Raw genomic sequence first — 26,479 nt, 5'->3', positions numbered from 1 at the left:
CGTGGCCTGAAGATGTAATTTTTTATTGCGTGATTTTTTTTATTATGTAATCTCAGTATACAGGGGCATCAGATTTAATCTAAAATTCAATTAACTGAAAATATCTCAATATAAGGTGATAATTTGACGGGTAACCTTTATGTTTGACCAAATTCTAGTAAATACAGGCAGTAATAAATCTGTTACAATCTTAGTTTTTCCTGGTGGCTGGGGAGTTTCTTTTGAAATTAGCTGTAAGAATCTTGATTTAAGAAGTGTGAACAACTTGCCTTAAAATTGAGTAGTTTTTGGCCGGGCGCGGTGGCTCATGCCTGTAATCCCAGCACTTTGGGAGGCCGAGGCAGGCGGATCACAAGGTCAGGAGATCGAGACCATCCTAGCTAACACGGTGAAACCCTGTCTTTACTAAAAATACAAAAAATTAGCCGGACGTGGTGGCGGGCGCCTGTAGTCCCAGCTACTCAGAGTCTGAGGCAGGAGAATGGCTTGAACCCAGGAGGCGTAGCTTGCAGTGAGCAGAGATGGCGCCACTGCACTCCAGCCTGGGTGACAGAGGGGACTGCGTCTCAAAAAAAAAATTTTTTTTTTGAGTAGTTTTGCAGTATGTATAAAGGAAAGAAAAAAAGATTATGTCTGGGAACTCATATATATTTGCAAGATGGAGCAAATGAAGAAAATTGTCACAATTAAATTGAAGAGATTTATCTGGCTGAGGCTGCTGCCAAGTAAGATAGCTTTATTTGTTAACAAGCCAAATAGTCTGAATTCTGCCTTTGTGCTTTACTTTAGTTGGAAGATAGAAAAACTGGCCTAGGACAGTACATTTTGGGAGAAATGTATTTGGAGTACACAAGTTTCTGGTTTTACTTTCAATGCTATAAATAAATTATTTAGTTTTTCATAGGTAACTTAATTCTTCAGAGGTTGTGGCAGGTACCAAAGGAAGACCAGGATGAGGGGCTTACATGAACTGGTTCAGTCTGTGACTTGACCACTTAGTAGTTATTCCTTTGTTTTGTTTGTTCACTTATTCCTTCATTCCTTCTCTTTCCACCCATTTACTCACCTACCCACTTCGTTTCTTTGGTTTGTTTTTTGAGACAGAGTTTCGTTCTTGTCGCCCAGGCTGGAGTGCGGTGGCGCGATCTCGGTCGCTGCAACCTCTGCCTCTTCGGTTCAAGTGATTCTCCTGCCTCAGCCTCCCGAGTAGCTGGGATTATAGGCGCCCACCACCCTGCCTGGCTAATTTTTGTATTTTTAGTCGAGACGTGGTTTTACCATGTTGGCCAAGCTGGTCGCAAACCCTTGACCTCAGATGATCAGCCCACCTTGTCCTCCCAAAGCGCTGGGATTACAAGCATGAGCCACCGCACCCGGCCCCACTTCCTTCCTTTCTTTGTTTTTTTTGTTTGTTTGTTTGTTTGATTTTTTGAGACGGAGTCTCGCTCTGTCGCTCAGGCTGTAATGCAGTGGTGTGATCTCGGCTCACGGCAACCTCCACTTCCCAGGTTCAAGTGATTCTCCTGCCTCGGCCTCCTGAGTAGCTGGAATTAAAAGTGCACGCCACCACGCCCGGCTAATTTTTATATTCTTATTATTTTTTTTTTGAGAAGGAATCTTGCTCTTTCGCCCAGGCTGGAGTACAGTGGTGCAATCTTGACTCACTGTAACCTCTGCCTCCCGGGTTCAAGAGATTCTGCTGCCTTAGCCTCCCAAGTAACTGGGATTACAGGCACCTGCCACCACGCCAGGCTAGTTTTTGTAGTTGTAGTAGAGACAGGGTTTCACCATGTTGGCCAGGCTCGTCTCGAACTCCTGACCTCAGGTGATCTGCCGGCCTTGGCCTCCCAAAGTGCTGGGATTACAGGCGTGAGCCAGTGCGCCTGGCCCCCACTTCCTTTCTTAAGTCATTTAGCGAATTATTATAAAGCCCTTCTTCTGTCTTGGGCTCTGTGTTGGATGTGGAGCCATAGTGCTGAACAATAACAGCAAGGAGGTTTCATCCAGTAGGCGTCTTTCAGAATCCTGCAAGAATATTTGAGACCTGTAAATAATTAATGGGCCTCAAAATAAAACAAATTGTAAAATTGAAATTTTATTAGTTTTCAATTAAATGTAACGTGAAGGTTTAAAATTTGTCATAATTACTAGTTCTCCTCTCCTTAGTAGTTCCATTTGTGAATATAACCTAGAAAGCAATCCTTGACCTGAAGAGGTAATTTGTATAATTATAAAGGTGGTCATTAAAGCATTTGTGGAGTAGAAATAATTGAAAGCAAACATATATGGACAACAGGAATGTTTCTGTATGCTGTCATTAAATTTAGATTATAGAATCTTCTGTGTGGTATAATCGTAAGGGCAATGCTCCTGTTCCCCTAATCATTTCCAATGTGGTATATAAACTTTTTCATACCCTCTTCTATGGTTTTAAAAATCATTTTTATTTTATTTTTTAGACAGAATCTCACTCTGTCACCCAGAATGGAGTGCAGTGGTGTGATCACGGCTCCCCGCAGTCTCACCTTATGGGGTTCAAGTGATCTTCCCACCTTAGCCTCCCTAGTAGCAGGGACTACAAGCGTGTGCCACCATACCTGCCTAATATATATATATATATATTTTTTTTTCTTTTTTCTTGTTTTTGAAATGGAGCCTTGCTCTGTCACCCAGGCTGCAGTGCAGTGGCATGATCTCAGCTCACTGCAACCTCCGCCTCCCAGGTTCCAGCGATTCTCCTGCCTCATCCTCCTGAGTAGCTGGGATTACAGGTGTGCGCCAACACACCTGGGTAATTTTTTTGTATTTTTAGTAGAGATGGGGTTTTACCATGTGGACCAGGCTGGTCTTGAACTGCTGACCTCAAGTGATCTGCCCGTCTCGGCCTCCCAGAGTGCTAGGATTACAGACATGAGTCACTGTGCATGGCCGTGGCTAATATTTTCTATTTTTCGTGGAGAGAGGCTGTCACTCAAGTGATCCTCCCACCTTCGCTTCTGCCTCCACCTCCCAAAGTAATCCCAGTAATCCTGGGATTACAGGTGTGAGCCACCAAATTCGGCCATAAAAATGGTTTTTAAAAGCAGTAATAGCAATACCATTCTTTTACTTGCCCTTTTTCCTGACATTTGCATCGCAGACATTCTTTCATGCCAGTAGATAGTAATCCACCTCTGTAACAGATGTGTTTCTTGTCTCCCAAGGTGTCAGTGAACCTTGTCTCCCATTTATAACTGATTAATGTGTCCTTGATCTTTTGCTTTTATAAATAATGCCACAATATATATCTGTGTATACATATGTCCCTGCACATTTGTGCGTACATTTCTGTTTACTGGAAATAGGCTTGTTCATTTAAAATTATGTGGTAGAAGTGGGCCCCCAACAAGGTCACTGTGTCTACTGTATTGTCTTTGTAATTCGGAAGCTTTGAGACTAAAAAGTTGGTGTTTTTTTTTTCTTTTTCTTTTTCTTTTTTTTTTGAGATGGAGTCTCGCTGTATTGTGCAAGCTGGAGTGCAGTGGCGCAGTCTCAGCTCTCTGCAACCTCCGCCTCCTGGGCTCAAGCGATTCTCCTGCGTCAGCCTCCCGAGTAGCTGGGATTACATGCACGTGCCACCGCGTCCAGCAAATTTTTGTATTTTTAGTAGAGACAGGGTTTTACCATGTTGCCCAGGCTAGTCTTGAACTCCTGACCTCAGGTGATTCACCTGCCTCAGGCTCCCAAAGTGTGGGATTACAGGCGTGAGCCACCGCGCCCTGCCAAAAGTTTTTCTATGTATCCTCATTCAGGTGGCAATCTGACGTGAATCCATTTGATGGCAAAAGTTGATCTGAACTCCTGTTATGTGAAACCTTTATTACCTCCAGAGTGTGAATGTTTTATCTTACTGCAGAAATATTAATGTGGTTGATTATGGGGTGCTGCCCCAGATCCCACTGAGCATATAAGTATATTATTAGTATATTGACTCTTTTTATAAGTAGTATTGGTATATTATGAGTATATTGACCCTTTTTTAAATGAGAAAAACTGAATTTCAACACATTTGACCTTTATTGGATCTTCCCATCGCCACCCACACCCATGAATGTGAAGTACTTTCTTCACAGTAAAATATATGAAATGTGTTAATATCCAGGAAATGGATTAACCAGTTTACTTAAAGATTATTTTTAAGGATTATACTAAGAGTTGTATAGAGAGTAAGACAACAATCTTAAAATAGTCCAGATTTTGCGTGAAATCCCTTAGGAACATTTTTGTTCATGTTGTCTGACATGAAGTTCTGAGTTTTTTCTCTGGTAATAGAAGAAATCACCATATCTTTGAATTAGTGGACTCAGATTTAGCGGGAGTGTTGTGCAACAAACAAGAACAAGGTATCTTGAAATTTGAGGATTTGCAATTCTAAATGTAGGAAAAGTACGTTATAAGAGTAATCTGGAAAACGAGACCTAATAATGGGGCATCAGCTTTATATAGCCTTCACTATATAAATTACTTTTGCAGTTTTATTGGTGGAGGGCATACACCTTGAGTATCCATTATGGGACATGTTTAACACCAGAATAAGTATTTTGGATTTTTTCACATTTTCAGTATTTGCATTGTGTTTACCAGGTGAGCATCCTAAATCTGAAATGCCCCAGTGAGCATTTTTTTAAACATCATGTTGGCTATCAGGAAGTTCCAGCCGGGGTGTTGGGGCTCACGCCTGTAATCCCAGCACTTTGGGAGATTGAGGCAGGCAGACCACTTGAGCCCAGGAGTTTAAGACCAGTCTGGGCAACATGGCAAGACCCTGTCTCTACAAAAGTACAAAACATTATCTGGACATAGTGGCACGTGCCCGTAGTCCCAGCTACTTGGGAGGCTAAGATTGGAGGATTGCTTGAGCCTGGGAGGTCAAGGCTGCAGTGAGCTGAGCTGAGATTGGGACACTCCAGCATGGGTGACAGAGTAAGACCCTGTCTCAACAACAACAACAACAACAACAAATCCAGATTTTGGAGCATTTCAGGTTTAGAAAGATTCAAGAATGCTTTCAGATTTTTGGTTTAGGGAAACTCAACCTGTGTATATTTGAATTTGCATTGGTTTAAATGCCAATATAATGTGAGTCTGTTACTTCAATATTACTATATAGATTTTTCCTCTTAAAAGTAACCATAGACAGTAATGTAAATGTTTATGCTATAACACGTAATTTCTAAAAGCAGATTGTGGACTGACACCTGCTTCAGGGGATTTCTTTCAGTGGGTTGATGAATATGGGGAGGGAGGAGTTGGTAAGGCTTCCTTTTGGAAATAGGATTTTTGTCTAGGCATTGTGGTTTTTTGAGGTGGCTTATCTCTGGATATGTTCTGAGTGGCTTTAAGAACTGTGCAGTGCCAGTGATAGATCAGTAGATCTCAGACTTTTTCTGTTTTTTTTTTTTTTGTTTTTTTGTTTTTTTTTTCTGAGACAGGGTCTCACTGTTGCCCAGTCTGGAGTGCAGGGGCGCGATCTCCGCTCACTGCAACCTCTGCCTCCTGAGTTCAACCTATTCTGGTGCCTCAGCCTCTCGAGTAGCTGGGATTATAACACACCTGGCTAATTTTTGTATTTTTAGTAGAGATAGGGTTTCACCATGTTGGCCAGGCAGGTCTTGAATTCCCGACCTCAGGTGATGTACTCGCCTCAACCTCCCAAAGTGCTGGGATTACAGGTGTGAGCCACCATGGCTGGCTGAGATTTTTTCCTTTCTATAGTAAGAGAGTACATGTTTCAGCTTTTTTTGACTCTCAATTTCTTGAATATACGCAAATAACTATCCTAGTTATGATTTTACTTTGTTTTTCTGGTTTACCTTAGCTAAGTTACTTTATTTCTTTGGCTTTTTTGATTTATTAAAGGCTTGGAGTGACATAGAAGGAAGGTAAATTTAGGATGCCGTGGTCAGTCGTGATTACAGGTTTGGCATAATATGATTGCATAAATGATTTCATTTTACATGAAGTAAAATGTCCAATGGCAGCCCACATGTTATGATGCTGAAATTTTTATTTGAAAAATTTTCAGACATGAAGAGGAGCATCGGCGGCGTGAGGAAGAAATGATCCGACACAGAGAACAGGAGGAACTGAGGCGACAGCAAGAGGGCTTTAAGCCAAACTACATGGAAAATGTAAGTAAACTACTAGTTAACTAAAATGATTTTATATTTTCAGGTTTATGATGCATATTTAGAATGCTTTAGATTTTGGTTTATACAGTAGTCTTTTCTAATCTTTCTAAATTCATCATGTTTGATAAATTAGTGATTTTCTTAACCTCTCATAGGTGGTAAAGTAAAATTAGTTTCTGAAGATATCTATGTTTTATGAAGTGGATGTTATATTTTTTCCTATTATTTTGGTTGATCTTTAAAAAAACATATGCTATTAAGTTAGAAATCTTGATATATACATCATTTCCACTTGACTGATTTTCACCACATACTAATATTGAAACATCTCTATTTTGGAAGATTTCAGACATGTACAGAAGAATTGTAGTGAACACTTATAAACATATGGCCAATCTTTTACATCTTTAAGTATAACCACTTTATTTCCCAATTTATGTTATTTGAAATACCTGATTTCATATAATTTTATTTTCAGTATGTATCTCTAAAAGATGAGGACTTTTTAAAAAAATCTTTATCATATTTTAAAAATGGTCAGCTCTTTCATCTTAACTAATTAAAGCCCAGATTTGCACAGGTCTTAATTTTTTTTTTTTTAAACATTTGGTTTCTTTGAATTGACTGTTATATCCAGCCTCTTTTAGTCTATAGGTTTTCTCTTCCTGTCTTTAATATTTTAGTAACCTTTTTTTTTTTTTTGAGACGGAATCTTGCTCTGTCAACCAGGCTGGAGTGCAGTGGCACAATCTCAGCTCACTGCAACCTCTGCCTCCCAGGTTCAAGCGATTCTCCTGCCTCAGTCTCCCAAGTAGCTGGGATTACAGGTGCGCACCACCACACCTGGCTAATTTTTGTATTTTTAGTAGAGACGGGGTTTCACTATATTGGCCAGGCTGGTGTCGAACTCTTTACCTCAAGTGATCTGCCCACCTCAGCCTCCAAAAGTGCTGGGATTACAGGTGTCAGCCACCATGCCCAGCCGACATTTCTAAAATAGATCATCTATTGTTTCATAAGATTATGCTTATAGAAAAGCATTAGGTGACAATATACCTTCTTTTCTAGTAGTTACTTAAAGTATGTATCGCATACTTGAAGCATCATGATAAAATTAATTTGGCTAGAGTGTAAGTTGGCAAGCTCTAGCCTGGGACTACTGCCTGGTTTTTATTACTCCACCACAGAGATACTGATGGTGCTTCTGTTTTTAAAGGGTTATTGCAAAAGAAAGAAGAATATTAGAAATGATTTGTGACTCGCAATAACTTAAAATATTTTTTTCTGACCTTTTTATAGTGTCTGTGGAAACCTGGGCTGGAATATTTATGTTTTTTAAAAAATTTTAAAATTAGTATTTATGGTAGATAGACCACAAAGTTACTATGCTCTTAACTTTTTGGGATATCCGTATTTCAAATAGTATGTAAATGAGGTATGATAATTGTGTAACACTGACTAGTGTTCTATAAGTTTATTTGTGATTAGAAGTGATATGAATCTACACAAGTTTTTCATTATTTTGGTGTCAGTTTTATTTGGTTCCAAGCTTCACAGTGCCTCTTACTACTGCAAACTTAAGCACTAAAAGCAATATGAATGAAAGCTCTACCTATCTCAAATATTTTGTGTTAATGGGAGTATATTAATAGGAAAGCATTGTATTAAGAATGCATTGAGGCCATTCTGGCAGTTGTTCTTCATTTACTTTGAAAACTGTCTTTGGAGAAAATTGTTAAACAATTTTAATGCTGTGTGTGTGTGTGTGTGTGTGTGTGTGTGTGTGTGTGTGTGTGTGTTTAAGCTTTGAAATTAGGCCCTCTTATGTGCTTTCTCTTTATTTCACTGTTCAGTTTAAAGGGAGGAATCAAATGGTAAGTGTTCAACTTGTCCAAGTAATGAGTAAAGTTGATTTTCTTTGTTAATTTTAAGATGCCACCTCTCTCTTCTTGCCTTCCTAATAGAAATATTCCAACAAAACTAAGAGTTATGGGACTTTTAAGTATAAAATAAATATTGATTTACATATTTCACATTTTAAATAATAATTTCATGTAACAAAGAAAGAGTGAAAACACTTGTCATATCTGGTCATCTTTTTGTTTGTCAGCCTTCAACTTGATCATAATTTTATGACACATGGGAATATATTTTTAAGAGTTTCAAGGATGTAAGCCAGTACTTCATCAATATCAGTTGTCAGTTTTATTTAATACTTGATTTTTCCTTAGAAGACAAACTTTTTGATAATTACTGTTGTAACTATAAATTAAACAACATTTTTTACTCATTTAGGATAACATTCAACTGCCTTAAGAATGTATACATTTTAATAATATGTCTTAATTGCATTTAGGTTTGTCTTTACCATAATATAGAGTGTATTCAATTTTTTTCCAGGCAGTATTTACTAAGTGGAAATTTTCTACTTATCACAATTTTTGGACACATTAAAAGCTATTATTCTGGAAGCAATGAGAATTTTATGAGATTGTTTTTTATAATTGTCTTGTGATTGTTTTCATATTAGGTTACTCCACCAACTGTAGATTAAGTAGTTTAAACACTTCAGTACTTACCAGTCTTTATGGGAAAAATCTGCATTGGACTAAATGACAGATTTTAGTTCTAGCATTTGGTTGATGCAGTTTCTTGGAGTAAACATTGCTTCTTGGGAAAATGTTAATGTCATAAAAATATCCAAACGTCCATCTTATTTTAGCTTTAGTTATTGTATCATGTAGTTATGAAATATTTGGGTTAGGAAAATTGGGGTGATGTTTAAATTGTATGTTACTTGGTTTTAAAATTTGAGAAGTTTCTTTTTTTTTTTATTTATTTATTGAGGCAGAGTTTCACTCTTGTCGTTCAGGCTGGAGTGCAATGGGATGATCTCAGCTCACTGCAACCTCTGCCTCCTGGGTTCAAGCGACTCTCCTGCCTTAGCCTCCCGAGTAGCTGGGATTACAGGTGCCTGCCACCATGCCCAGCTAATTTTTGTATTTTTGGTAGAGATGGGGTTTCACCATGTTGGCCAGGATAGTCTCGAACTCCTGACCTCAGGTGATCTGCCCGCCTTGGCTTCCCAAAATGCTGGGATTACAGGCATGAGCCACCACACCCAGCTGAGAAGTTTCTTTTTCTTGTATGGTACATATTAATGTTTGCCTTTTCAATAAAGAAAAGAATAATTCTTCATACCCTTTTCAGGTTTCCTGCATTGAACTAAATATATACCTGACTTACTATTAAAGCTTATTAGTCCCATTTGAGTAGTTGGGAATAGCCCTAGGTGTTTCAACACAGTTTATTCAACACACATAATAAACTTGAGAATAAAGGTATGTTGTATGCTAAGGCAACAGTTTGACTCAGTTGTATTTCTTTGCTTGTCAGAGGCATTCCATTGTAGCACCCGAGGGACTGTGAGGCCAGAATGATTAAGGGAATGTTGGCAGAGGCTAGCAGTGTAGTGCTTCTTCCAAGGACAATGTAAAACATTTTTTTTCTTTTAGAGATGGGGTCTTGATATGTTGCCCAGGCTGGGCTCAAGCAGTCCTCTTTCCTCATCCTCCTGAGTGGCTGAGACAACAAGCACATGCCACTGTGCCCAGCAGAACAGTGTTTTTCCAATGTACGTAATAAACACTCAAGGAGCTTTTAAAAAATGTGGGTTCTTAGATCATACTACTAATAATTGATTTGTTTTGTGATCCAGGTAGATTGTAATACATTGATCTTTGATCACATTTTTTTGCTAAATCCAGTAGTTTTCAACCTTGCAATATATTTGTGGAACTTAAGGAAAAATGCCTGAGATTCAGTCCTCCAAGTATTTTGATTCAGTGTGTCTAGGTTGGTACCAGGAGATATACGTGTTAAAGAAAACTCTACACCTTGCTTATTTCTTTTTGGTAGCGAAGATTCAAAACTACTGGCCTTGTATTGAAATGAGACATACTGAAATGAAAATAGTTGAATTTTTCATGGATCCTGGGAGTGTTAGTGGAAGGCATGCTTGATGTGGTTCAACATGGTGTAAGATTTATATAGGATGCAATTTATTTATTTATTGATGGTATCTTGCTGTGTTGCCCAGGCTGGAGTGCAGTGGCTATTGACAAGTGTGATTATAGCACACTACAGCCTCAAACTCCTGGGCTTAAGTGAATCTTCCTGCCTCAGCCTCCCAAGTAGCTGGGAGAGTAGGCATGCTGCTGTACCCATCTTTCTTCATTTTTTTCTTTCTTTTGATTGGGTCTCCCTGTGTTACCCAGGCTGGTCTTGACCTCCTGAAGCTATCCTCCTGTCTCAGTCTCCTGAATAGTGGGACTACAGTTGCCTACCACTGCATATGGTTATATATCCATCTTTAGAACACGGTTCAAACAGTATGACATTCTACGTGAATAGTACCCTGCAGAATTTGGGTGTGGCAACCTTGATTTGGGCTTTCAGACTATATGTGCAGGACATATTATCTCAAACTATGCATTAATTTTGCGTGCATAGTTCTAATAATTTTAATTGTCTCATCCAGTCGAGGGGTTGACAGACTAGAACAGACCAGGCTCAGTTCACATGCTGCCTATTTTTGTAACACTTTTTTTTGTTTGTTTTGTTTTGTTTTGTTTATTTTGCCCTACAAAAACTGATTTGAGTAGTTGTGACACAACTATGTGAGACTGTATTGAGACTACATGGCCTGCCAAGCCTAAAAAATATTTACACCTGACCCTTTACCTGAAATGTTTGCTGACCTCTGAATCCGAGAGTTGAAGGGAATCTATAAAAGTGGCTCATATTACCAAACTCGTAGAGCTTGTGAAGAATAATGCAAATCTATTCATTTATATATTCTTTTCCAGTGTTTTTAGAAGGCTCACTGAGCACAGTACCTCATATTCCAGATCCAAGGATTCCTGAGGAATCCAAATTAGTATCCAGAAGGTTCATTGGTAGTCATGGTTATAAACCAGAGCAAAAGTTAATGGGAAGAAATGGTAAAGAGTCACTGCATTGCAGCTGACACCTGGGATTTTAAAATCTTTTTTTCGTTTTTGAGATGGAGTCTTGCTCTGTCGCTTAGGCTGGAGTTCAGTGGCGTGATCTTGGCTCACTGCAACCTCTGCCTCCCAGGTGCAAGTGTTTCTCCTGCCTCAGCCTTCCGAGTATCTGGGATTACAGGCACGCGCCACCACGATTGGCTAATTTTTTATTTTTATTTTTATTTTTATTTTTGAGACGGAGTCTTGCTGTCTCGCCAGGCTGGAGTGCAGTGACATGATTTCGGCCCACTCCAACCCCCGCCTCCCAGGTTCAAGTGATTCTCCTGCCTCAGCCTCCCAAATAGCTGGGACTACAGGCGTGCGCCACCACGCCTGGGTAATTTTTGTATTTTTAGTAGAGATGTGGTTTCACCATGTTGGCCAGGATGGTCTCGATCTCTTGACCTCAGGTGATCCGCCCGCTCGGCCTCCCAAAGTGGTGGGATTACATGTATGAGCCACCACGCCCGGCCCACGCTCGGCAAAGTTTTTGTATTTTTGGTAGAGATGGGGTTTCACCATGTTGGTCAGGCTGGTCTCGAACTCCTGACCTCGTGACCCGCCCACCTTGGCTTCCCAGAGTGTTGGGATTACAGGTGTGAGCCACCGTACCCGGCCAAAATCCCTTTAGTTCTAGTCAGTAGAGGAATAAAGCACTGTTCTTTCAAATGTGAACCCCTCTTGATCAGTATTGTCCAATCTGGCCTGTTCTTTAACCAGTCAGCCTCTTTTCCTGCCTCTTGCATGGGCTTTTTGTTGTTGTTTCTTTGTTTGTTCATCTATCATCTCTTGCTTTAATCATAACCTAACTTTCCCTGATGTGGCACGTGTAAAACTGAAAAACAGAAACTCTATCTGGTAAAAAAAAAAATTCCATTAATTTATGCTGTCAGAGAAGAGTGATCCTGTTGTTATTTACTAATGAATAGATACAAATTTATTTTCTGAAATGGTTTGTGAAGATTCCAGAGCAGAAGTTACAGTTTTGTGGTTTCCACATGGCTGTCCCTCTTTTTCTACAGTTTTTAAAGCTCTAATGAGGAATTTATGTTGCTTAAGAAGATTTGTTTTTTGAAGTCTAAACTTCTGAAGCATTCAAACAAAAGACACATTTTACAAGGGATTTTTATGGCCTCTTCATTAAGTTATGGAAATAACTAAAGAATTATTTGCTGAAGGATTTGATGTCAGATTTAAGTGTGACCTGCTGGACTGGTAGGCTTATTTATGGTATAATGATGGCCTAGTCCCAGTGGTTTGGACATGTTGGTGAAAATCAAAATGGATAATAACAGACATTGCAATGGTCTCATATGTAATGTTCTAGTTGTGACTAGTTTCGGTTGTTAATGTTTTTACTTATTCATTAAAATAATTTATTACAAGCCAAGGATTTTTCTCAATATTTGGCACGGTACATAATTGTAACTTAACTTAGACTTTTGTGATCAAATAAAAACAAACATATATATAAGTTTGTAATGTTTACACATATTCTTAGAATTGATTTGTAGGATTTTGCTGATTTGGGATAATTGGTTGAAGGTATGTGTCAGTTTTAACCAGGTGTTGAGTTATTTGATCACTCCTCCAAAGATTATTTAATAGTTTCAATAATATCTAATGATGTGTGGGAAACCGTAGAATTTTTCATACAAACTGGGACAAATGAACATGCATACTATTAAAATACTTCCTACAATAGGCATAAAATGGGCTTTCTTAGGTGAACCAGGAGGTATAGTTAGCCTAATCATATGCTATGATTATTAGTAATGGTTTTCTGTGTTTTATCATTCATATTTGTAAATCTTTTTTGAATGACTACTTGGAAATGATGACTGAATCTCATACTGTGTACACACTTCATCAGAGGACACTTAATTGTATTGATTAACATTTTTTTGATCTTACCTTCTGTTAGAGTTTCAGAGAGGTTCATAATCCAGAAAAATTATCATGTTTTCTTTTTTCCTTTTGGAGAATATCTGTTCAGACTCAGGTCATGTGTTTCTTCTGATTCCTCACCCCAGCTGTCATCTTTTTCATTAAAATAATTTAAAATTAAAAATTGGTTTTAAGGAGGGAGTCTTGCTCTGTTGCCCAGGCTGGAGTGCAGTGGCGTGATCTTGACTCACTGCAACCTCTGCCTCCTGGGTTCAAGTGATTCTTGTGCCTCAGCCTTCCAAGTAGCTGAGATTACAGGTGCTCGCCACTACATCCGGCTAATTTTTGTATTTTTTAGTAGAGATGGGGTTTCACCATGTTGGCCAGGCTGCTCTTGAACTCTTTACCTCAAGTGATCCACCTGCCTTGGCCTCCCAAAGTGCTGGGATTACAGGCATGAGTCACTGTGCCTGGCCAGAAAATTTTTTTGTTTTTGTTTTTGTTTTCTTGAGGCGGTGTTTTGCTCTTGTCATCCAGGCTGGAGTACAGTGGCGCGATCTCAGCTCATGGCAACCTCCGCCTCCCAGGTTCAAGTGATTCTTCTGCTTCACCCTCCCGAGTAGCTGGGATGACAGGCACCCGCCACCATGCCCAGCTAATTTTTGTATTTTTGGTAGAGACGGGGTTTCACCGTGTTGGCCAGGCTGGTCTCGAACCCCTGTCCTCAGGTGATCCACCTACCTCAGCCTCCCAAAGTGTTGGGATTACAGGAGTGAGCCACTACACCTGGCCGAAAATTTTTTTAAGACAGGCTCTCGCTGTGTCACCCAGACTGGAGTTCAGTGGCACGATCATAGCGCCCTGTGACCTTGAACTCCTCAGCTTAAGTGATCCTCCTGCCTCAGCCTCCCATGTAGTTGGGACTGCAGGTGTGTGACACCAGCCCCTCCTAATTAAAAACATTTTTTTTGTAGAGTTGGAGTCTCACTGTGTTCCCTAGGTTGATCTCAAACTCCTGGGCTAAAGCAATCCTCCTGCCTCTGCCTCCCAAAGTGCTGGGATTACAGGTGTGAGCCACTGCACCTGGTCCTTTTTATGTTCAATATAGTTTATTCTTTATATTTACCAAGTTGTATTCTAATTTTTTTCTGACTTTGTTGTCTACTAATTGTGTTCTCTGAATTTTTCGAGGTCACGAATTTTATGTTTGTCATATTATAGTTACTTAGATGTAAACTGAGAGAATTAAGTAGCTGTTTGAAGTCTTGTTTTTCAAATGCCAATGCAGCTCAGTTATGGTTTTCAGTCTGTATGGATCACTAGACCTTGGCATTTATTGAATATTAATGCCTCAGATATTACACATTTGGCACTTTGGAAAACATAGGTGGCATTGAGGTACAACTGCTGATACATTTTTATAGACTTCATACGTGATTAAGTAATGAAGAGTATTTTTAAAAGCAGCCAAAGAAACAATTTTTTTTTGCTTGGTTTTCAACACACCTAACTTTTTACTTCAGAGTATTAGACTTACAGGTCGTCTGGGAGGTTTCCATTTTGGAAGAAAAATTTGTTCACTGTTTCCTGTATTCAAAACATAGTGCTGAGCACTGTGGAGGATACAGAGGATGTTAGAGGACTTTAGGTGCTGAGTACTTATACAGAGTAATGTTAAAAGAAACAGCTCAAACGTTCTGAGAATTTAGAAAATGAAATTCTCTACTGAGAGTGTCATTAAATAGTCTTGGTACTTTTGTGTGTGTATATGTCTGTGTTTATAAAATGATGTGATTTGTTTATTATTCCTGCTGTGTTGTAGGTATACCTCATGTCTTTTCATTTGAAATGGTAAGTTCTAATAATTTTTGGTTCAGAATGGTAAGATTTTTTAGCTAATGTTAACTCTTTTTTGAGCAATCGGAGAAGAGGAGAGTCAAGACCGGCAAATAGACATGGTTAACTAATGTAAACATATCTTGTGCATTGTCTAGTGTATAATATAACTAATAATAATTTTAATTATTAGTTTGAATTAGTAACAGAAGATCCTCAGAAGGCATAAAAATTTAACTTGTTACTTCTGCTTTGTGACTTGTTTAATGTATTTGGAGCCACCTTACAGTGCTTGTTCTACATAGTGACGGTAAATTATATTTTAGGCTAGTCAGTATCTAAGATCTTCTATACTTCATATTGAGGATAGTATCTCTGTAGTATCATCTAAAATGTTAGAATTTTGTACTAAAACTAAAAAATTATAATGTCTATGTTCAGTATTAAGTAACAACTAGTGAGATGTAGGCTGTAGGAACTCTGGTTTGTAAGCATCTGATGAGATGCAGTTATGAGTTAGATTGGTAATTATTATAATTATAAACTTTCAAAGGCTTTTACTTATTTGAGTTAGATTGATAATTATAATTACAAACTTTCAAAGACTTTTACAATTCAAAGTAACTGAAAGTTTATGGGTAAGTTTGTTTCTTTTCTTAATGGTATCTTATACTATATTGTGCACTATGTGTCAAACCCTGGCTTTTCTGGTTGTTTTACCATAGTTTTCTTAAGATAACTTCTTCATTTGATTTATTCTTGTTTTTTCTATATATGATTTTAACCAATTGATATGATTGTTACAGTAGTTTGTTTTATAATGGCAAATTTTAAATAACTTTGATTTTTATTTTGGTACCACTTAAATGTGTAAAAAATGACTATGTATTTAAACCTGTAGCTTTGAGTTAGTTACTTAGAAGAAAATATGTACTAACATCACAATTTCAAGGCCTCTGGTAAATTATTAAGATGATTTATCTAATGCCGACTATCACAAACAGAAATGGATACTCTCCTGTATAAAATGTGTACTTAACTCATACGTTGGCCATCTATGCCTTGTTTTCCTCTTTTCTGCTTTTTTCTGTTGACGGGACCAATTTGGAACTGCTGCTTGTGCAGTTTATATTTGTTCTTTTCTTTCACCTTTCATACCTTGACCTGGCCAGTTATGATGGTTTTACTTTGGTAAGGAAATGCACTGGATAAGAAAGAGGTTTTGGATCAAGAAGTGCAAACCAGTCACCAGTATTATGTGAACTTTGGTAAGATTTTATTGCTAGTATTGTTTGTCTTACAGCTGGTATCCTTGCTCATTGTTTTTTTTAGGAGTTCTGGGTAAAATAACTAAATTTGAAGAATAATTAAATACTATTAATCAATTTTAGGTTTTAAAAGCACCTCTTCAGAGTGAGTTTACACCTGACAATTGAAACTGGTAATCTTGAAAATGCTCTCAGGTGTATGCATTACAAATAAAATTCTTAGGAGCAGTGTTGTGTGCCTTGTAGTCCCAGCTACTTGGGAGGCTGAGGTGGGAGGATCAATTGAGCTCAGGAATTCAAGGCCAGCTCGGGCAACATAGTGAGAGGCCCGTCTCTTAAAATCTCAGCCAAATAGAAGCTTCTTTAACAATTAATTTATGTAAAATACTTATTTCCTTCTGTCCCTTGATGTGTGCTAGATTGTGTTTACATTTAATTGATCTTCGGTTAGAAAGCCACCCTATGTATTAAAAAACAGCCATTAATTTTGCTACACATTCAGTTGAATTTGACAGTAATATCAGAGCAATCTATTCACTCAATTACCTGACCGAGGCTTTCAAAATACATTGTTGAATGTATTTGGTTTAAGAGGCACATGTCAAGTTAATGAACACAGTAAGTTTCCCTACTTCTATTTGTCGTTGCCTCCATTTCTGATTTAGTATTTAACAAGTAACAACTACTTTTTGTTTCGTGACTAAACCTTGCAGTATAAATTAAGATGTAATTAGCTGGGTGCGGTGGCATGACTGTAGTTCCAGCTACTAGGGAGCCTGAGGCAGGAGGATCCGTTGAGCCCAGTGAGTATAAGTCCAGCCTGGGCAACATAGTGAGACTCATCTTGATTTATTATTATTATTTTTAATGTAATTGATTATTCAAAAGGATTCATTTTAAAGTTTCAATATTTTAGTAGCCTTTTTCAAAAGAGCTTTAGGTCCACAGCAAGATTATGTGGAAGGTACAGAGATTTCCCGTCTACCCCGTGCCACATGCCTACAGCTTCTCCTGCTATCAAAGTGTTTTACCAGAATGATACACTTATAACAATTGCTGAAGCTACATTGACACGTGCTTATCAACCAAAGTCTATCGTTTACCTTTAGATTTGCTCTGGGTGTACATTCTGAGGGTTTTGACAAATCTATGACATGAACCTATGATTATAGCATCATACAGAGTATTTTCACCTCCTTAAAAATCTGTGCTCTGCTTCTCTATCCCTTCCACCTAACCCTTGGCAACCACTGATCCTTCTATCGTCTCCATAGTTTAGTTTTTTCCAGAATGTCATATAGTTGGAATCATACAGTATACAGCCTCTTCAGATTGGCTTCTAGTCACCTGGCAATGTGCATTTAAATTTCCTCTATGTCTTTTCATGGGTTGATAGCTCATTTCTTTTTAGCACTGAATAATATTTTGGTTGTACCACAGTTCACCCATTCATATACTAAAGGACATCTTAGTTGCTTCCAGGTTTTAGCAATTATGAATCAAGCTGCTATAAACATTCATGTGTAGGTTTTTGTGTAGACATAAGTTTGCACCTCCTTGGGGTAAAATGCAAAGAGTGATATTGCTGTATCAGATGGTAAGAGTATGTTTAATTTTATCAGAAACTGCCAGACTGTCTTGCAAAATGGTTACACCTGTTTGTATTCCCTTCAGCAATACGTTGAAGTTCTTGTTGCATCGCATCTTGGCCAGCATTTGTTTTTGTCAGTGTTTCGGATTGTCACCATTCTAGTAGGTTTTGTAGTGCTGTCTCATTTTAATTTGCAGTTCCGTCAATGTAATTTGCAATTCTATCAATGGCATACGATGTAAAGTTTCATTTTAACAATCATATATCTGAAGAATATTTTCCCAGATATTCATGGGTGAAGATATTTAGGAATGCATGTATTGAGGGGAGAAAACTTGGGTATATATATATAAAGAGATTGTCTTATATTTTTTAAACTACCCCTCACTAACTAGCAGCGAATAACATATATTGGAAATTGTTGTTTTTAATTGCCTGAATTTCAAATGTTAAGTTTTCCAAGCATTCACTATTGATTAGGTTGGAAAGTTTACATGCTATTGAGTTGTATCAATAGAAACGTATATTTTTTTCCTTTTCATTTTAAAACGTTTAAAAATTTTTTTGGAGTGAGGTCTCATTCTGTCACCCAGGCTGGAGTGCAGTGACGCAATCATAGGTCACCATACCTCTAATTCCTGACCTCAAGGGATCCTCCTGCGTTGGTCCCCCAAAACCCTGAGATTACAGGCACTGGACACCATGCCTGACCCTTATTTACTTTTTTTTTTTTAAAGTGGAGTCTCCCTCTGTCGCCCACGCTGGAGTGCAGTGGCACGATCTCAGCTCACTGCAAACTCTGTCTCCTGATCAAGTGATTCTCCTGTCTCAGCCTTCTAAGTAGCTGGGATACAGGGGTGCACCACCATGCCCGGCTAACTTTTTTTTTTTTTTTTTTTTTTTGAGACAGAGTCTTTCTCTGTTGCCCAGGCTAGAGAGCAGTGGTGTTATCATGGCTCATTGCAGCCTCCACCTTCTGGTTTCAAGCGATTTTCCTGCCTCAGCCTCCCGAGTAGCTGGGACTACAGGTGCCCACCACCACACCTGGCTGATTTTTTGTGTTTTTAATAGAGATGGGTTTCACCATGTTGACCAGGCTGGTCTCAAACTCCTGACCTCAGGTGATCTGCCCGCTTCGGCCTCCCAAACTGCTTGGATTACAGGCTTGAGCCACCGTGCTTGGCCTTAATTTCTTTTGTATTTTTAGTATTTATGGGGTTTCACCATGTTGGCCAGGCTGGTCCCTAACTCCTGACCTCAAGTGATCTGCCTGCCTCAGCCTCCCATAGTGCTGGGATTACAAGTGTGAGCCACCATGTCCGGCCCAGTTTACTTTTATTAGAAAAGATTCATTTGCTGATGTATATTGTTCAGTATCTTAATACTTTTTTCATGAGTTAATACTTTCTTGGCAAAGAGGCCTAATATCTTGAGGTTTTTAAAAATACCCATGAATATTTCATGTAAGTGATTTTTGCTTCATTCTTTGTGTCTACAATTTGTTATCTAATATTTCTGGCTCCTAACGATTTTCTTTTTTGTTTTTTTTGAGATGCAGTCTTGCTGTGTCGCCAAGCTTTTCATAGAGATGGGGTTTCACCATCATGGCCAGGCTGGTCTCGATCCCCTGACCTCAGGTGATCTGCCTGCCTCAGCCCCCCAAAGTGCTGAGGTTACAGGAGTGAGCCACCGCGCCTGGCCAACAGTTCTTATTTAATCTTTCTCATGAAAGTTTAATTGGTTATAACCTTATTGTTCTGTTATGTAACCTTCTTTAGTGAAGGAAAAGGTAATAGAATATAGTTTGCTCACACTAAAATATTTTCAATTGCTAAATATAGTTTTTTTTAGGGAATTTATTTTTAGGAATATTTAGATATTCCTAATTGATTAAAAAGGCTGAATCCTGTTGTCAGAACTTACTATATTTTTCTCTAGAATTATATATTTTTTAGTGGATTTAAATGTTCTACATTATTTTAGCATTTTCGTTTTTTGAGACATAGAACCTAAATAGCATGTGGTGATTCCTGGACAATTCTTAAAGCTTTTTTTGAGATAAACATGAGAGGTCTTTATCAATAAAGAATTTTGACTGTGACCTAAAAAAGAGTATTGATTGTGCCCATTAAGATTGCATTCACTCAAACAAGAGTTATATTGATAAAGTGTTAGATGAATACCTCTCGTCATTGATCATTAAATGGTGTTCCAGTTGACACAGTTAAAGCAGTTTTTATTTAGTTCAGTGAGTGTATCCCCAAGTTTAGGTGGTCATACTACACTTTAGCTTTACCTGAGTACTGTGTTAAGTCATTCCTTTAAATTAGGTTATTGGTAATACACACACACATATACACCCACAAAATATACGTGTTGAGTATCCCTTATCTAAAATGTTTGGGACTAGAAGTGTATTGGAATTTGGATTTTTTTGAATTTTGAAACATTTGTGTATTATGTAATGAGATATCTTGGGGATGGGACCCAGATCCAAATATGAAATTCACTTATGTTTCATATATGTCTTATATACATAGCCTGAAGGTAACTTCATAGAATTTAATTTTTTTATTTTTTATTTTTTATTTTTTTGAGACGGAGTCTTGCTGTATCGCCCAGTCTGGAGTGCAGTGGCGTGATCTTGGCTCACTGCAAGCTCCGCCTCCCGGGTTCATGCCATTCTCCTGCCTCAGCCTCCCGAGTAGCTGGGACTACAGGTGCCCTCCACCATGCCCAGCTAATTTTTTTGTATTTTTAGTAGAGACGGGGTTTCACCGTGTTAGCTAGGATGGTCTTGATCTCTTGACCTCGTGATCCATCCGCCTCAGCCTCCCAAAGTGCTGGGATTATGTGTCTGTCCAAAAAAAATTTTTTTTAAGAGACAGTGTCTCACTGTGTGACACAGGCTTGTCTTGAATTCCTGGGCTCGAGCAATTGGCATCTCAGCCTCCCAAAGTGCTGGGATTATAGGCATGAACCACTATGCCTGGCTCAGTAGAATATTTTAAGTAATTTTGTGCGTGAAAGTTTTGCCTACATTTTGACTTAGACCCATCACATGAGGTCAAGTATGGAATCTTCCACTTTGGGCATCGTGTTGGTGTTTAAAAAGTTTTGGATTTTGGAGCACTTGGGGTTTTGGATGGTTATGCTAACCTTGTTTCATGATAGCCCAAGTACTAAATATTAAAGGAAAAATATCCATGTTCTGCACAAAAAGTGCCATGTGCCAGTAGTGGCATGTTTACCATGCCACTTTGGAAAATATTTGTTAGGTTAATTTACCTTACTTAGTGCAAGCTTCCTGTTCTATATTTTCATGAAAGAAAACTGACTGCGATTTTAAAAATATTGCTTCTCAAACCTTTTGGCTTCCATATTTCTTTAATTTTCCATATCACTATTAAAAATTATTGAGGGTGCCAAAGTCCTGCTAAAGGATTATATCAATATTTACCATATTATAAGCCAAAGCGAGGTTTTAAAGAAAACGTTACAGAGTTAAGAGTCGCTTTCTTGTACATTTTTGCAAATGTCTTTTAATGTTCCCTTTAGTGTAGTGGGAAGAATGGTGTTGTTTTATGTTTTGTAAATTTGTTTTGCTCTATAAAAAATGGTTGGCTTCCCACGTTTGCTTTTGCAGTCCATCTATTGCAGAAAGCTTTTTAATTAAAACGCATCAAAGAAGACCTGACTTTATACGGAGAAGTGATAAGGGAGGAGTATGTTAATAACCTTTAAAGATAATTGTGGATTTTTTTGATACTACTGTAAAACTTAAAAGTACTCTTACATCGAAATTAATTGGGTTGGCTGGGCATGGTGGCTCACACCTGTAATCACAGCACTTTGGGGGGTTGAGGCAGGTGGATCACTTGAGCTCAGGAGTTCAAGACCATCCCAAGTAACATGGTAAAACCCCATTTCTACAAAAAACACAAAAATTATCTGGGCGTGATGGTATCTGCCTATAGTTCCAGCTACCCTTGAGGCTGAGGCAGGAGGATTGCTTGAATCTGGGAGTCAGAGGCTGCATGAGTTGAGATCACGCCATTGCACCCCAGCCTGGGCAACAGAGTGAGACTGACAAAGGAAAAAAAAAAAAAAAAAGAAATCCGCTGGGCTGCTTTGAATTTTGAATGGATTTTTTACCCATGCATGATTTTTTAGTGTTATGTACCAATCAGAAGAAAAATACTGATGCATTGGCCTAAGCAGATTATCCAAAATGCTAATGTATTTATTTTACAAAATTAAAAAGAAGTTACATGTCTTCATATTGATCTCATAGAAAATATCCGCCAAATACTCAAGCCAATAATTATAGTGTCTCTTATAAAAACCTTGTTCTGTGAAAAAAGTATTTCATTCAACATGCACCTCAATTATGAATGCTTTTTCTTAAAATAACCATCCTACTTCAGAATGCAGCAGATGTACTTTGTGGACAAATCCTGTTTTATTGTGAAGAACATGAAAAAAGCATGTACCCATGGATAGAGATTTAATAAAATTAACTTTGACTGCTTCCTCCAGGTATTCATAGTTTAAAATTTTAAACTACAGTTTTATCCATGTGACAAATGCAGTGGTTACTAGTAAAAATTGGGCCCAAGTCTCTTGGCTTGTGCTATAGTGCTGGGACTTTTCCTAGCCATTACTTTCGCACCATTAAATGTAGTGAATGTTGATACAGAGAAAAGTCTGATGATAGTACTATAACTAACTGTATCTTAGTGCTGGGAAAACATGAAATAGTTGTGACTGTGCACTTCCTGAGTTTTGGGGACTCTTAGTGTACTCCATGACCTACACGTTAAGAACCGCTGCAATGATGGAATGCTCTTTTGACATGTGGTTCTGGGAATTAGTCATACTTTGCCTCCTTTTTTGGTCATCTGTTAATTTAAGTACACTTGAATTCGAAGCTTTCAGGAATACATATGTATAATTCTTTCCATGGAAAGGCATACAATCTTATAAATACCGCAAAGATAAGTTAAAATCTTGCCTTTTGTTAGGCTTCGACTGTTGGAATTCTTTTTTTTTTTTTTTTTTTTGGCTGTCTGGGACATGGAGATATGTTGGAATTTTTGAAGAATGAAAGTATCTCGTGAACGTCAAAAATTTTGTGAACTCCATTTCAGTAGAATCGTATAGGTTAGCTCAGCCACTTACTATCCATATGACCTTGACTAAGTTATTCAACAGCTTTGTGCCTCAGTTTCATTATGTCTAAAATGAGGTAACAGTAGGCCTACTTCATAGAGTTGAATCAATAATGTAAAACTGAGTTTTCATCATAGGTTTATTTTAGCGCACTGCAGTCTTTTGAGATGTTGGTTACAAATAAGTTGTTTTGGCTTAAACAACAACTCTTAATTTTTTGTAATGTAATAAAGCATTATTAAAATTTGTAAAAATATCACGTATACGCACTGGTTCTAACTTAAATTCTAATTTGAAGTGTTATTAAAAGTCATTCATAGAGGGAAGTAAGGGTTTTGTGTATTGCTTGTTGGGTGGGCACACAGTTGTGAATTTCCTCAAGTGATTCTTATTAATATTTGATAGATTTAGTGTTAGTGAAGAATGCTGTATTTCATTTTACAAAATCATCCTAATCTCTACCTCTTTTGCATTTTACTAGAAGTTTGTAGCGGTGGTTTTCTAGAAAGTAACAGCCTGAAGACATGACTAGGAAGCTGAAAATTTCTTTTGCCCCTTCTAAGATAGTTACAAAATGATGCCATCAAATTATACTCTTTTTTCTTAAGAGCAAAGCTGTGTAAAATAGTATTCAGTAATCATCTTTAAGATATTGTCAACATTACTAAGTACAAGTATATATATATATATTTAGTGAAAAATGCTGTAATGTGCCTCATGAATTGGTATTTTAATACAGTAATATGCTATGGTAGCATGGAGTATTCTAAGATATTCTGATTATCTCATTTAGAGAAAGGTATTTTAGAACTTGTACCAATTTATAATATACCACCAGAAGGGGAATGTTCATGTTTAATAGTTAACTTAAAACCATAGATATTTTTGGTACATTGATACATTTCCCGTGAAATTTTCTTAATGACAATGGATTTAATAATAAAAGAAGGTACTTTGTGAATAATAAAGCTTGCACTATTCTAGAAAGTTATTCTAGAAAGTGATACATAGAGCTGAAAATACAAAGAGACAATAAAAAAGATTGTTTATGCCCTTTTTTCCTGCCAGTGAATCATAGGCCAATAGTTAAGGTATTAGGGTATATAAGGGGTAGTTGAAAATTGAAATCTCAAGCAGTGAGACTGTAAACAATTACCCTATATTAGTGGTTAGATATTGAATTCCTAACCTTTCATAGTGAAGACAAATTCAAAAGTAAAAATATAAATTGAAATCCTGTCCTCCCCAAAAGTCATGACTATGAAATCCATGTATTTTACTCGATGGTGCTGGTGTGTAACCAGCTTCTGAACAACGAAATGTCTACTATATTTGCTTGTTACAGATACTTATCTAGATACTATAGATATTATTTTTATAGCTAGAAGATTTTGGGTGTTTTGAAGCATTCTTAAGTTTTATCAGTAGGTTCTAAGAACCTATCAGTAGTTTCTAAGTAGTGATAAGGAAATGGCAATTTGGTTTGGTTTATTGAAAGTAGTGATAACAGAAGCTTTATTTTAAAATAGTTTTCTAAATATAATGCTTGATGAGTAGCAATTTTATATTACAGTCTAGCTTTTTTTTTTTTTGAGACAGAGTTTTGCTCTTGTTACCCAGGCTGGAGTGCAATAGTGCAATCTTGGTTCATTGCAACCCCCGCCTCCTGGGTTCAAGCGATTCTCCTACCGCAGCCTCCTGAGGAGGTAGGATTACAGGCATGTGCCACTACTGCCCAGCTAATTTTTTTGTATTATTAGTAGAGATGGGGTTTCTTTTTTTTTTTTTTTTTTTTTTATGAGACGGAGTCTCTCTTTGTTGCCCAGGCTGGAGTACAGTGGTGCGATCTCGGCTCACTGCAACCTCTGCCTCCTGGGTTCCCGCAATTCTCCTGCCTCAGCCTCCCGAATAGTTGGGACTACGGGCGCCTGCCACCACACCTGGCTAATTTTTTTTGTATTTTTAGTAGAAACGGGGTTTCACCGTGTTAGCCAGGATGGTCTCAATCTCCTGACCTCATGATCCGCCCATCTCGGCCTCCCAAAGTGCTGGGATTACAGGCGTGAGCCACCGCGCCCAACCTAGAGACAGGTTTCACCATGTTTGCCAGGCTGGTCTTGAACTCCTGACCTCAGATGATCTGCCTGCCTCAGCCTCCCAAAGTGTTGGGATTACTGGCGTGAGCCACTGCACCCCGCCTCAGTCTAGCTTTTTTTGCAGGTCAGCAATAGTATCCATTAATGGTCACAAATTTTATGATGAGAAATTTTTAGGAAAGTTAAAACATGGCTTTTAGGGCTGGGCATTGCGGTTCACGTTTGTAATCCCAGCACATTGCGAGCGTGAGGCAGGAGGATTGCTTGAGCCCAGGAGTTAGATACCAGCCTGGTTGACATAGCGAGACCCTATCTCTACAAAAAAAAATTCAAAAATTCACCAGGCATGATGGTGCATGCTTGTCATCCCATCTATTCGGGAAGCTGAGGCAGGAGGATCACTTGAGCCCAGGAGTTCGAGGCTGCAGTGAGCTATCATGACGCCACTGCACTGCAGCCAGGGCAACAGAGCGAGGATCTCTGGGAAAAAAAAAAAAATTAAGCTTTTTAGAAAGATTGGTATTTAAATCTTCTAAATAATGTGAGAAAGCATTTTATCTCTTCATGATGGTGTTTTTGTTGTACCGTAGCTTCATTCATTGTACCGTAGCTTCATTAGGATTACCTTTGGACATCTCCATTTAAGTTAGGCAGTTTTTTTAAGGAGCCACTTGTGGCTTAATGGCAATTACGTTTCCATCATAGGCTTTTATTTTATTTCCAGCTTTATAGGTGCTTTTCAACAGTCTTTCGTATTATAAAATGGAACTTTAAATGAACATTTAGATTTTAATAAGATTGCTTTTCAAAAGTACAGTAATTATGCTTTCTTTAAACATTGCTGCATTTGTCTCATAATGGAATGTTTTTCATGATTGCTACATTTAACAGTTTTCTGTGATTGGAAATGGTCATCAAGTCAAAGTGAAAATTGCAATTTTCCTATGTTATCTTGAGAAATTTCACTTAGAGATTTCATTGAAGTTAATTCTATGTCACTATTGTTGGTAAATGAACAGCTTTTAGGAAGCAGTTTCTGTAATGAAATTTCAAATGTTCTGAATATTTCTGTTTTATAGTTAACTGTGTAATACTTTCATTCAGGTTTTCAAATAAAATTACTGCGCAGTTAAAGGAAAGCAATGTTATGTCGAGCTTTCAGTAATTGCTTGTGTGGGCTATCTATAGTCCCTGGATGGAATAATGCTTGAGTAGATGAATACAAATACATGAATGAATTATAATATTTAGACAATGAAGATTGTAACCTTATTTTTAGCATAATTCCCTAAAGCTATTTGTGTTATATGTTCAAATACATTTCAACATGAACTTGGTAACAGTCATTTCTATTTTAAGACTTCAGTGACCTGGGAGGAGAAAATAATTGGCTCTGGTGGTTATCATTACT

General features: G+C 37.9%; 1 protein-coding gene across 17 annotated transcripts in view; it reads left to right on the top strand.

Moving 5' to 3' along the window:
* PSPC1 (paraspeckle component 1) overlaps positions 1-26,479 on the top strand; it is a 111,741-nt gene that overhangs the window by 46,537 nt on the left and 38,725 nt on the right. For 12 of the 17 annotated variants that reach the window (XR_007063689.1, XR_007063688.1, NR_003272.4 and 9 more), the window contains one exon: positions 6,065-6,170. Coding sequence is in view for 9 of the 17 variants with exons in the window: in NM_001363660.2 (NP_001350589.1) it covers positions 6,065-6,170 (106 nt within the window). In the remaining 8 variants the exon portion in view is untranslated. Of the gene's footprint in view, positions 1-6,064; positions 6,171-8,023; positions 9,533-9,685; positions 12,604-14,927; positions 14,957-26,479 lie in introns of those variants that run through there. The other 5 variants (XM_047430435.1, NM_001354908.2, XM_011535139.3 and 2 more) reach the window with 3 other exon arrangements.

The sequence above is a fragment of the Homo sapiens genome, chromosome 13 (assembly GCF_000001405.40).
Source record: "Homo sapiens chromosome 13, GRCh38.p14 Primary Assembly".
NCBI classification, from domain to species: domain Eukaryota; kingdom Metazoa; phylum Chordata; class Mammalia; order Primates; family Hominidae; genus Homo; species Homo sapiens.
The sequence above is the reverse complement of the archived record's forward strand: the minus strand, read 5'-3'. Positions and strand labels throughout refer to the sequence as shown.